The sequence below is a fragment of the Homo sapiens genome, chromosome 17, assembly GCF_000001405.40.
Source record: "Homo sapiens chromosome 17, GRCh38.p14 Primary Assembly".
Classification (NCBI taxonomy): Eukaryota; Metazoa; Chordata; class Mammalia; order Primates; family Hominidae; genus Homo; species Homo sapiens.
Genome location: NC_000017.11, coordinates 80,978,895 through 80,990,250, shown reverse-complemented (window position 1 = coordinate 80,990,250; position 11,356 = coordinate 80,978,895). Strand labels below are relative to the sequence as shown.

The following is an 11,356-nucleotide window of genomic DNA, read 5'->3' as shown; positions in this document are numbered from 1 at the left end:
GCCTGGCCTCACATAGTGGACCGTGTCTCTACAAAACTACAAAAGTTAGTGGGGCATGGTGGCATGCACCTGTAATCGCAGCTACTTGGGAGGCTGAGGCAGGAGAATCGCTTGAACTTGGGAGGTGGAGGTTGCAGTGAGCTGAGATCACACCACTGTACTCCAGCCTGGGCGACAGTGTGATACTCTGTCTCCAAAAAAAGAAAAAGAAAAAGAAAAGGAATTGGAATCCATTTGATGCCAGTGTCTTGTCATTCCTGAGACGCTTGAGTATTTCCCTCCCTCTGTTACACAGTTACTTTGGTAAACAGGTACAGGTCCCTTTGGGGGACTCTTCCCGTGGCTTTGCTGCTGTATTCCTTGCAGCAATGCTTCAGGGGTCTCCCTCAAGGAACCTGGCCCCCAACTCAAGGGCTCCAGGTCTGTGAATTGGCTCAGCCTGGAAACAGGTGAGAGGCCGTGGCTGTCCACTGTGGTGACTCAAGTCAGGTTTGGCCACCAGACCCAGAGTTTTGTTTCTGTTGTGTAAGACAAACAGCACTCTGGTCTGCCAACCCTTTGTTTCACCCTGGGCACTGTGATTCGCCGGAGGACCCTGCAGGCCACGGCATCCCGAGCGCCAGTTCCTTCTGCCGCCGCTGGCACACACAGCCCGCGTGGGACTTGACGGCGGCGGTTGCCCCCTGTCCTGCTGCTGCTCTGGGATGTGTCACCCCATGGAGATCAAGGAGCGCATCTCTGCCGGGGCACCCCTCTCCCCGCGGTCACACTTGGCCTACGAAGGAGAGCAGTAGCAGGACTTTTCAGGGTGCAGGGGCTCCCCTCGCCCGGGTGTTCCTCACGTCCGGGAAGGTGGTGCTTCTGAGCCTGCAGGGCGTGGCTGGGTGTGGGCGTGCAGGTCACACTCACGGACTGCCTGTCCGTGGACCTTCGGATTCTCTCCTCCACAGCAGGCCATGGAGGGTCTGGGGTCTTGGGTTCGTGACCTGCGGGCCTCTGGGTCTGAGCTTCAGCCGTCGCGCGAGGGAGCGCTTAGCTGTGGCTGCAGCTGCAGACCCGGCAGAGCGATCAAGGCCCCCAGATCAGGGACTTCAGCCCCCTCTAGTGTTCCGATTCGGTGTTCCCGGTCCAACCCCCCCGAATCCACTCCCGCAGGTTCTCCCCAGGTTCCCCGCGATATCTATCTGAAATATCTCTGAATTCTTGTAGCATGTAAGCCAGGGTTTGCCAAACTACAGCCTGCGGGCCACATCCGGCCTGGAATCTATTTTTTTGTACAGCCTTTGAGTTAAGAGTGGATTTTACATTTCTTAAGGATTGTAAAACACACACACACACACACACACACACACACACACACACACACCGAAAAGGAGGAGGAATGGAGGAGGGAGAAGGAGAAGAGCAAGAGCAAGGTGGCCAGAGGCCGTATGTGGCTCACGGAGCCTGATATTTACTGTTTGATTTTTTATTTTTATTTTTTTTTGAGACAGAGTCTCACTTTGTCACCCAGGCTGGAATGCAGTGGTGTGATCTCAGCTCACTGCAGCCTCTGCCTCCCAGGTTCAAGCGATTCTCCTGCCTCAGCCTCCTGAGTAGCTGGTACTACAGGCAGCTGCCACCGCGCCCAGCTAATTTTTTTTTGTATTTTTGGTAGAGAAGGAGTTTCACCAAGTTGACCAGGCTGATCACAAACTCCTGACCTCAGGTAATCCACCCACCTCGGCCTCCCAAAGTGCTGGGATTACAAGCGTGAGCCACCGTGCCTGGGTGCTGTTTGTTCTCTTACAGAAAAAATTCCCAAGTCCCAGCATGAGCTGTTGTCTTCTGTGTCACGCTGTCCCGGATCCCTAAGATCTGATGCTAATTGTAGGCAACAGGAGGTGGCTGTGCTGGCTTGGGGAGGACGGCAACCTCTCACAAGGGTCTTAACGGTGGGCTCTTGAGGGTTTTCAAACTCAGGAGCACCAGCAACCTCAGCCACCACCACTCCCACTGGCAAGGGAGCCTCGGGGCACCCTGGCAGGAGCCGACTGTGAGCTCCACGGGGTTCCGGGCGCTGCCTCCACTCTGGGTCAGGGGTGCTGTCCTGTCAGCATTCTGCCTCTCAAGTGAGGACACGGGCAAGGCTGTGCGCTCAGCTGACCCTGTGATCAGGTGACACGCGGGACTGAACATTGTGTTTGATTTCCAGCAATGTCAGCCCCGTAGGGACCACAAACAGCAGCTCCTGTGAGGGCTGCCACGAACATTCTCTGCCTCTCAGCTGACCCGAGGCCTGGGAGGAGCTGCTCCTGCCAGCCATCTGATTGCTGTGAACGCCCAGTGTGTGGAGCAGGAACCCCCAGTCCACAGTCCTGGGGTGTCCTTGCTGTTCTGCTCTGAAGGGCAGCAGCCGCTTGGGCACCCCGGCACCAGTCTCACCCAGCCCTTTTTTTTACCCAACCAGAGGCCACAGCAAATCCACTGCAAAGTGGGGCCCAGCACCCCGTTTCCCATTGGCAGGAAACTCAGCCAGGCATTCACACCCTAGGGACGATGCAAACAGTCCCCAAATGCCCTCCTGGGACCTCTCCTTGTGCTAACTCTGTACCATTAGGTTCCAGGCAGGAGACAGAAACCACACCAGTAATTTGAACAGGAACATTTAATATAAAGAATTATAAACTAGAAAAGGAGGTTTCACTATTAAAAGGTTACAAGAGAACTCTGAGGAATACAGGAATAGCAGTGCCAGAAGCAGCGTGTGTTTCTAGGACAGACAGGGAGCACACGAGGAGAAACCAAGAACCTGGAAGAACATCCCAACTCAAGGCTGGGCCTGGCTCTGCTGGACCCTGCAGGCTGCCCCTGCCCGCAGTGGAGGAAGTTGCCCTGGGCTCTGCTGGACCCTGCAGGCTTCCCCTGCCCGCGGTGGAGGAAGTTGCCCTGGGCTCTGCTGGACCCTGCAGGCTGTCCCTGCCCGTGGTGGAGGAAGTTACTGCAGGGTGAGAGCCTAGCCGTCCGTGGGGAGCCTGCCAGTTGGCCGAGAAACTCACTGAGGGGTGCATCTGGGCCAGAGCTTTTCTAACAGGAACTCCTGCCAGGTGCTTGAGAATCTTGCTGGGGAGCACGACAGACGGGGGGTGTCTGCGAGAAGCAGCCCATGGGTGGCAGAGACTCACGGAGGAGTCACCCGCACACGGAGCCACTGGCAGCTGCAGCAAGGAAGGGGTCAGACAGGGAGGCCCCATTCTCTGCCAGGCCTCGCTGCAACCTCCAGCTCCCTCTCCCGTCAAAGCCTCAGGCTGAGCTGGCCAGAAGAGGAGAAACGTTTACAGGGTCCAGCTCCACCAGCACAAACAGGCCTAGGAAGGGTGGATTTGGAGCTGAGGGGTGACAGTGGCACACCGCTGAGCCTTTAATTATGGCGGCAGTGGTGCCATGTCACTTCTGAGACCAGGTGACAAAAGATGACACAAGGCTGGGTGTGGTGGTTCACACCTGTAATCCCAGCACTTTGGGAGGCTGAGGTGGGAGGATTATTTGAGCTCAGGAGTTCAAGACCAGCCTGGGCAACCCAGTGAGACCCCATCTCTATTTAAAAAAAAAAAAAAAAAAAAAAAGATGGCCAGGCATGGTGGCTCACACCTATAATCCCAGCACTTTAGGAGGCTGAGGCGGGCAGATCACTCAAGGTCAGGAGTTTGAGACCATCCTGGCAAACATGGTGAAACGCTGTCTCTACTAAAAATACAAAAATTAGCTAACGTGGTGGTGCACACCTGTAGTCCCAGCTACTTGGGAGGCTGAGGCAGGAGAATTGCTTGAACCTGGGAGGCGGAGGTTGCAGTGAGTTGAGATCATGCCACTGCACTCCAGCCTGGATGACAGTGTGAGACTCCATCTCAAAAAACTAAACTAAACTAAACTAAAATAAGACACAGTGTCTACCTGGTGTCTCCTGGACTCTCGTTCTTGGAACTCAGCCACCAAGTCAGGAGGAGCCAAGCAGCCCCTGGGAGGAACCGCCCACTGACACCACCTGGCCAGCCATGGGATGAGCCTTCTTAGAAGGGAAATGTTCTAGTCCCCTCATCCGCTGAGCCACCCCAGCTGATGTCACACGGAGCAGAGACGAGCCTTCTCTGGTGTACTTTGCCTAAATCACAGATTTGTGAGCAAAATACGTGTTTGTTATTGTTTTAAGCCACTGAGTTTTGGGGTGATTTGTTACTCAGCAAAAGATGACCAGAGCAATGGTTGTAGGTGCTTAGAGAAGGCAGCAGGGAGACTTGAAGGTGTTGGTGTCTGCCCTTCCACGGAGAGGCATGTTCTCCCCTTTATTTGGGGGCCCAGTCCTGGGACTGGTCAGGCCGGGGAACTGGTGAGGGATCGCCACTCTCCATTAAGGTATTTCATGGCAGATCTGGTTTTTTTCTTTTTTCTTTTTCTTTTTTTTTTTTTTGTGAGACAGTCTCACTCTGTCACCCAGGCTGGAGTGCAGTGGCGTGATCTTGGCTCACTGCAGCCTCCGCCTCCCAGGTTCAAGTGATTCTCATGCCTCAGCTTCCCGAGTACCTGGGATTACAGGCATGAGCCGCCAGACCTGGGTAATTTTTTGTATTTTTAGTAGAGATGGGAGTCTCACCATGTTGGCCAGGCTGGTCTTGAACTCCTGACCTCAGGTGATCCACCCACCTTGGTCTCCGGAAGTGCGGGGATTACAGGCGTGAGCCCCTGCGCCTGGCCTAGATCTGGGTTTGTTTTTGTTATTGTATTTTTTTTTTTTTTTTGGAGACAGGGTCTCACTGTTGCCCAGGCTAGAGTGCAGTGGTGCCGTCACAGCTCACTGCAGCCTTGACCTCCTGGGCTCAGGTGATCCACCCCACTCAGCCTCCCGAGTAGCTGGGACCACAGGTGCACACAACCATGCTTGGCTAATCTGTGTATTTTTTGTAGAGATAGGGTTCTCATTATGTTGCCGAGGTGGGTCTCGAACTCCTGGGCTCAAGTGATCCTCAGTCCTTGTCCTCTCAAAGCGCTGGGATTATAGGCAAGAGCCACCGCGCCTGACCTGGTTTTTAAAAAAATGATCAATTTAAGCTTTCATAGACTGTCCATCTTTTTCAGTTCTGGGGATGCTTGACCCATTAGCCAAGGGCCCTGACCCCTGTGGCACTCTCTGCTCCCAGCTGGCCGCTCCTTCTGTCACCGAGCCTGTCCCATCTCAGACTCTCGGTCTTTGCCACTCCAGGGTCACGTGAGAGATCAGGGGACACAGTCTTGTTGGCGGCAGAGCTCAGAGCCTCCTTGTGGGCAAGTTGCAGGCCTTTGTAAGGAATGTTTTGGGGAGGTGATGAGGGACTCAGCCAATGGGTTGCATCTGACGAATCCATTTGGCATTCCTGGCTCTCTACGCTGCTGGATTCTTCTCTCTGTGCTCTACTGAGGAAATCCTGGAATCTCAGCTGGGCCACTGTTAAGTCCAGGTTTCTTTCTTTTTGAGACAGTCTCATTCTGTTGCCCAGGCTGGAGTGCAATGGCGTGATCTCGGCTCCCTGCAACCTCTGCCTCCAGGGTTCAAGCGATTCTCCGGCCTCAGCCTCCTGAGTAGCTGGGATTACAGGCGCCTGCCACCACGCCTGGCTAATTTTTTGTATTTTTAGTAGAGATGGGGTTTCACCATGTTGGCCAGGCTGGTCTCGAACTCCTGACCTCAGGTGATTCACTTGCCTTGGCCTCCCAAAATGCTGGGATTACAGGTGTGAGCCACCACGCCCGTCCAAGTCCAAGTTTCCAGCAACAAATAGAGCGAACAGCTCCAGTTTCTCACAGATACTCAGGCAGACAGTTGAGCTCAGAGTCCCTGGAGTGTGCAGCCGCCCTGACAGTGGGATCCACGCTCACCACTAGTCTCCAGCTTGAATTAGCAAAATCTTGATGATCTTGGGGTGTGGCAGGTTTTTATTCTTCTCCCTGGAGTCAGCTGGGATCTCACTCCAGCTATGGGGTTAGAGGCAACCAGGGGTGACGGGCCTGGGTCTCGAGGGGAATCAGCCTCCTGCCCCAGGCAGATGCTTCAGGTGAGGTCTCCCAGTGTGGGAGCTGCCTCAGATAGGGAGGAGGGTGGCTTCTGCCGGCAAGCAAGGCTGAGTGGGACTCCCTGGGCAGGGGATCAGGGTTACCCCTCAGGTCCTTCCATCCCCACTTCCCCCCGCTCTGCTCTAAGGTTCACACAGGTTACCTGGGGAGGCTGAGAATTTAATTTCCGTTGTAATCCTCCGAGCCGTAGGGTAAAACTTGGGAAATCATTTTCGGATGCCGTGGTCTTGCTACCAGAAGATTTTCTTCACTGTTCCTCCTTGTTTTCTGATTTTCTCCCTCTGACTTCAACTGAGACTGCAGGGCCCTTGTGTGTGATTTTAAAGATGTCATCCTTCCCCTGCTGTCGGAAATTGCCGGCCCGCCCCGGTCCTTGCAGTCAGCAGGGAGGATTCCTTCTGAGGCTCCGAGGGAGAATCCGGCCCATGTGTCCCCCGGCCCCTGGTGACTGTGGGCGGCGTCGGTGTCCCTTGGTTTGTAGAAACATCCCCCCGTCCTCTGCCTTCATCTTCCCGACGTGTTCTCTTGTGTTATGATTGTGTCCAAATGTTCCCCTCCTCCTTTTTTTTTTTTTTGAGATGGAGTCTCGCTCCGTCGCCCAGGCTAGAGGGCAGTGGTGCGATCTCGGCTCACTACAAGCTCTGCCTCCCGGGTTCACGCCATTCTTCTGCCTCAGCCTCCCGAGTAGCTGGGACTACAGGCGCCTGCCACCACGCCCGGCTAATTTTTTGTATTGTTAGTAGAGACAGGGTTTCACCATGTTAGCCAGGATGGTCTCGATCTCCTGACCTTGTGATCCGCCTGCCTCAGCCTCCCAAAGTGCTGAGATTACAGGCGTGAGCCACCGCGCCTGGCCAAATGTTCCCTTTTTATAAGGACAATATGTTATATGGAGGAACCTGCCCCAACACCACCCACATTAACTAATTACATCTGCAATGACATCATCTCCAACTGAGGTCCCATTCTGCGGCGCTAGGGGGTAGGACTTCAACCTGTGAGTTTTGGGGAGGCACAATCCGCCCTTAACTTAGCAATGAGGTCATCACCTGAGGTTTGCCCTGGAAAGCAGGAACCCCTCTGGGCATTTCAAGGAGGGAGGTATTTAATACAAAGGATCAAGTGCTTCAAAAATCATTAAGAGTTGGAGGAATGAAGGCCGGGGAGTCCCATCCCTGGATCTCGGGGACATGGCGAGTGTTTAGAGTCGGGAGGTTGCAGGGACCGCAGGAAACCCTTGGTGATGGCCACAGCTGCCGCCAGCACCAGCGTGAAAAGGCCCACCCGCCACGGCAAGACCTCACATGGGCCAGACCCAGGAACAAGGACACAGATTCTACTCCTCTCCCGCCGCCCCTGTCTCACGAGGGCCCTTCCTGCTGGGGACACTCACCCGGGATCCCTCAGCAGGCAGCATTGGGCCAAGCTGCCCACAGCCGGCCTGGAACATGGGATGGGAAGGCTGTGGGGATCCGGGAAGGTTCCATTGAGGAGGTGACATTTGGGGTGGCCTTCAAATGACACACGAATGGAGAGGCAGCCGGTGAGAAAAGGTGGTTCTTGTGAGGCACCAATGACGTGGACATGACATCATCATCCAGCTGGTCCCTCCACCCAGGTGTCCACCAGCCTCTGGGGGTCGTGCTGGTGGCTCCACTCCACAGAGGTGGCCCTAGGCCTTCTGGGTGCAGGAACTGACCAATGCAGTCACCAGTGGAGGAAGCCCTCCCCACTCTCTGTCCCTCATCTCTTCCCTGACCACGCAGCCAGCTTCCTCCTAGGGCTGGAGGGCCGTTGGGTGGAGAGGGCAGCCCTCCTTCTCCGCCTTCCAGTCCCAGCCTGGTCAGCTGCAGCCATGGTGGGTGAAGACCCACGGCTGCCTGGCCCAGGAGTCACACCCACACCTGAGCCCATGCCTAGTGGGGAGGGAGGGAAGGTGGGGCCGAGAGGCATGCAGGGAGGGAAAGGGCCTTTTGCCGTGTTGCAGGTGACTTGCCTGGGCTGCGTGCTGACGCCTGGCTTGGGCCAGGAGACCCTGAGATCATGAACTGGGGGCTGCACCCCTCCTTGCAGGTGCCCCGCGTCGGTGGGGCCCAGCGGATGTGGGAGAGCTGCCACCTTCTCCATGGGCCGGGGGAGTGTCCAGGCAGGGGCTCCCACGCTCCTGGTGGGATCTTCAGGGTCAGACTAAGCAGCGGTGACTCAGGGAGCAGAGAAAATGATGAGCCCGACGAACATTCTGGAGCAAGTCAAAAGAAGCAAATCCTCAAGGAATGGGCGAGAGCCCAGAAAGTGCTGGTGCTGGACACAAGTGCGGGGTTGGAGGGACCCGTGGCTGCAGACACTCCCTGGGGCGCGGCAATGGGCGGCCTAGGGAAGAGAAGGTGTCCTCGGAGGGGCTGCGGCAGCGCCGGGGAGAAGTGGGCTGCTCCCAGAGGAGGGCCGGGTGGCCCAGAGGGAAGACCCTGCTTGCTGGGGACCCTCAGAGACCCGTGGAGTGGGGGCGCTGGGCTGCAGGGGGTTAAGGGCGAAGACATCTTTTGGGTGCTTGAGAGCTACGGTAGAAATGGGGCAGGAAGGGGTGGCGCGGGGCCTCGGGGCTGACGTCCCAGCAGCCTGTCCCGCCCCGGCTGGCAGCGGCGACCCCCGCGCCAGGGGAAGGAGCAGCGGCCGCGGCGGCCACGCGGTGGCGCTGCAGGACAGGGGAAGCCGGCGGCCCTCGCAGCTGGGGCGGCCCCCAGACCCCGGTGGGAGAGACCCCGGACCCCGCAGGCGGGACCCCGGACCCCGGTGGGAGAGACCCCGGACCCCGCAGGCGGGACCCCGGACCCCGGTGGGAGGACCTCAGCCCGGAGGAGGCAGGACCCCACACCCCTGGGGGAGAGACCCGCAGACCCCTAAGGGAGGCCCCCAGACCTCGGCAGGCCGCCCCGGGGTCCTCGCGGGCCCCTACCCTGTGCAGGCTCCTGCGCGGAGGGCAGCAGAGACTGGGGTCCCGGAAACCCGCGGGGGCGCGGGGGCGGGGGCACGGGGAGTGGGAGGCCCTGTGGCTGCGGGACCTGCGGGGCTTGATGAAGTCACTACCTCACTCATTCACTCATCCATTTATTCACCTGCTCCCTCCCTCCCTCTTCACTCATTCATTCATTCATTCACCTGCGCATTCATTTCCTCCCTCATTCATTCATTCACCCGCTTATTCACTCACTTCCTCATTCACTCATTCATTCACCTGCTCATTAACTCACTCCCTCCGTCCCTCACTGGCTCACTCATTTACTCATTCATTCTCTCACTCATTGACTCATTCACCCACTCTTTAACTCCCTCACTCCGTCTCTCTGTCCCTCACTGACTCACTCATTCACTCCCTCCCTCCCTCATTCATTCATTCACTCACCCACTCCCTCACTCATTCACTCAGTCACCCACTCCTTCACTCATTCATTCATTCATCCTCTCATTCACCCACTCATTCACTCACACACTCATTCATTCACCCACTCATTCACACACACACTCACACACACACACTCACTCACACACTCATTCACTGACTCATTCTTTGACTCATCCGCCCATTCACCCACCCACTCACCCACCCACTCACACACCCACCCATTCATACACTTGCTCATTAACTTTTTCACCCACTCATTCGCTCACTCACTCACTCACTCATACACTCATTCATATTCATTCATTCCTTCAGCGCCTACCATGGGCAGGCCCTGCTCTGAGAACTGCAGTCCCTTTGTCATGGAGTTTGCATATGACAAGGGACACAGGGGAATGGAGGTGGTGCTGGGCTGGAGGGATGTTGGGTGGGTAGTTGAGGATGTGGCATCTGATCTCAGGAGCCTGAACCCCAGATAGAAGGACAGCGGGGTGACAGTGCAGTGCCAGGACTGGATGGTGGGTGGGGCATGGCAGCCCTGGGGCTGGTCCGCCCCTGTTCTCGGACAGCCGGAAGCGCTTGGCCCTTGCCCAGGAGGGACTGACCTCACTTGGGTTTTCATCCTGGCTGCTCCCCCTGGGGAGAAGGGGTCGCGGTGGGAAACAGGCTTGAAGGCCACGGGTCAACCCGGTGAGAGCTGCTGGATGGGCAGGAGCGGCCCTGAGGGGAAGGGGCATGAAGGCGAGGTCAGCCTTTGGCCTAAGCCCCTGGGCAGACGTGGCGCCACTTGGGAGATGACATCGGCCGACCCAGGGGTCACAGGCTGCACACACACTACTGCCCCAGCTCCCACACAGCCAGCCTTCCAGGAGGATGGGGGACCGTCTGCATTCCACGGGAGAAACTGAGGCAGGGAGGAGTAAAGCGGCCTGTGCTGGGTGGAGCTGGAACTGCCAGGCAGGCAGCTGCAGCGGCCCCCCGGGAGTGATGGTGGTGGCCGGAATCAGGTGGCTGGGAGGCTCACGCGCCTGAGGGGACATGAGCGCCCAGGAGGGGGGCCACTGAGGCCTGGAGGGTGTGTTTTGGGTGAGCTATGCCTGTGGTCTGAAGGTCAGGAAGGATGCTGGGTGGGATGGCTTGAAGAGAGCCAGGAAGGGGGTGAGAAGGCCAGGCTTGGGGCAGGAAGAAGCCCGGGGAGGTGGGATGAGCTCACATCAGCTACGGACACAGGAGGCTGCCACAGGCCCTCAAACGGTCCTTGCGTCCCCACACACACTGCGCTGGGTTGGTCTGAGTGACCAAGGGCAGAGGAGAGTGATGGCAGGTCACTTTTGAGATTGGGTCATTAATGGCACGGTGGCCTCCATCTTGGCTGACAGCTGGATGGCCACCCCCGGGAGACCTGAGCCCGGCTTCCTGCTGAGCCGCTTCCGGTCTCCTGGCCTGGGAGTGTGTGGGATGATGTCGGCTGCTTTCAGCTGCTGAGTCCTTGGGTCACTTCTCGCGTGTGATAGACGATGAATGTGTGTGGCACAGGCTGCCCCTGGAGTCAGAATTCTGCAGCTCAGCTGCTGGCCGGGTTCATCTCAAGCCTGGGAGGCTGCCAGAGTCGCCTCCATGCTCATCTGAGTGGCTGTGGGCAGGAGGCCTCAGTCCTGGCCACAGGGGCCCCTCCAGGTGACTTCCCCCAGAGATGAGGGGATTACAGAGCTGGAGGCCGGGCTGCTAGCCTCGTGACCATGAGAGCAGCGGGTCCCTGGGGCTGCCTGATGTCCGCCTGTTTCTCTGGGCTGTTCCAGGCCTGAATTTGTGTCTCACGACTCCGGGCCCCTTACGGTCCTTGGCGAGTTCTTGGGTCTTAGTCTGTTCATGCTG

General features: G+C 57.3%; 4 annotated features.

Moving 5' to 3' along the window:
- Window positions 865-1,054: an enhancer, noted in NCBI's record as "active region_12952". NCBI's record gives its function as "activates an Ori minimal core promoter by ATAC-STARR-seq in GM12878 lymphoblastoid cells {active_cell/tissue: GM12878}" and the evidence as "EXISTENCE:reporter gene assay evidence [ECO:0000049][PMID:35858748]".
- Window positions 7,997-8,496: an enhancer, noted in NCBI's record as "H3K4me1 hESC enhancer chr17:78955555-78956054 (GRCh37/hg19 assembly coordinates)". NCBI's record gives its function as "activates a minimal SCP1, AML or CMV promoter by ChIP-STARR-seq in primed H9 embryonic stem cells {active_cell/tissue: H9 hESC(primed)}" and the evidence as "EXISTENCE:reporter gene assay evidence [ECO:0000049][PMID:30033119]".
- Window positions 8,287-8,466: a silencer, noted in NCBI's record as "fragment chr17:78955585-78955764 (GRCh37/hg19 assembly coordinates)". NCBI's record gives its function as "represses an EF-1alpha promoter that drives an FKBP-Casp9 reporter gene in an ReSE screen in phorbol 12-myristate 13-acetate-treated (for megakaryocytic differentiation) K562 erythroleukemia cells {active_cell/tissue: K562(+PMA)}" and the evidence as "EXISTENCE:reporter gene assay evidence [ECO:0000049][PMID:32094911]".
- Window positions 8,716-8,875: a silencer, noted in NCBI's record as "silent region_9111". NCBI's record gives its function as "represses an Ori minimal core promoter by ATAC-STARR-seq in GM12878 lymphoblastoid cells {active_cell/tissue: GM12878}" and the evidence as "EXISTENCE:reporter gene assay evidence [ECO:0000049][PMID:35858748]".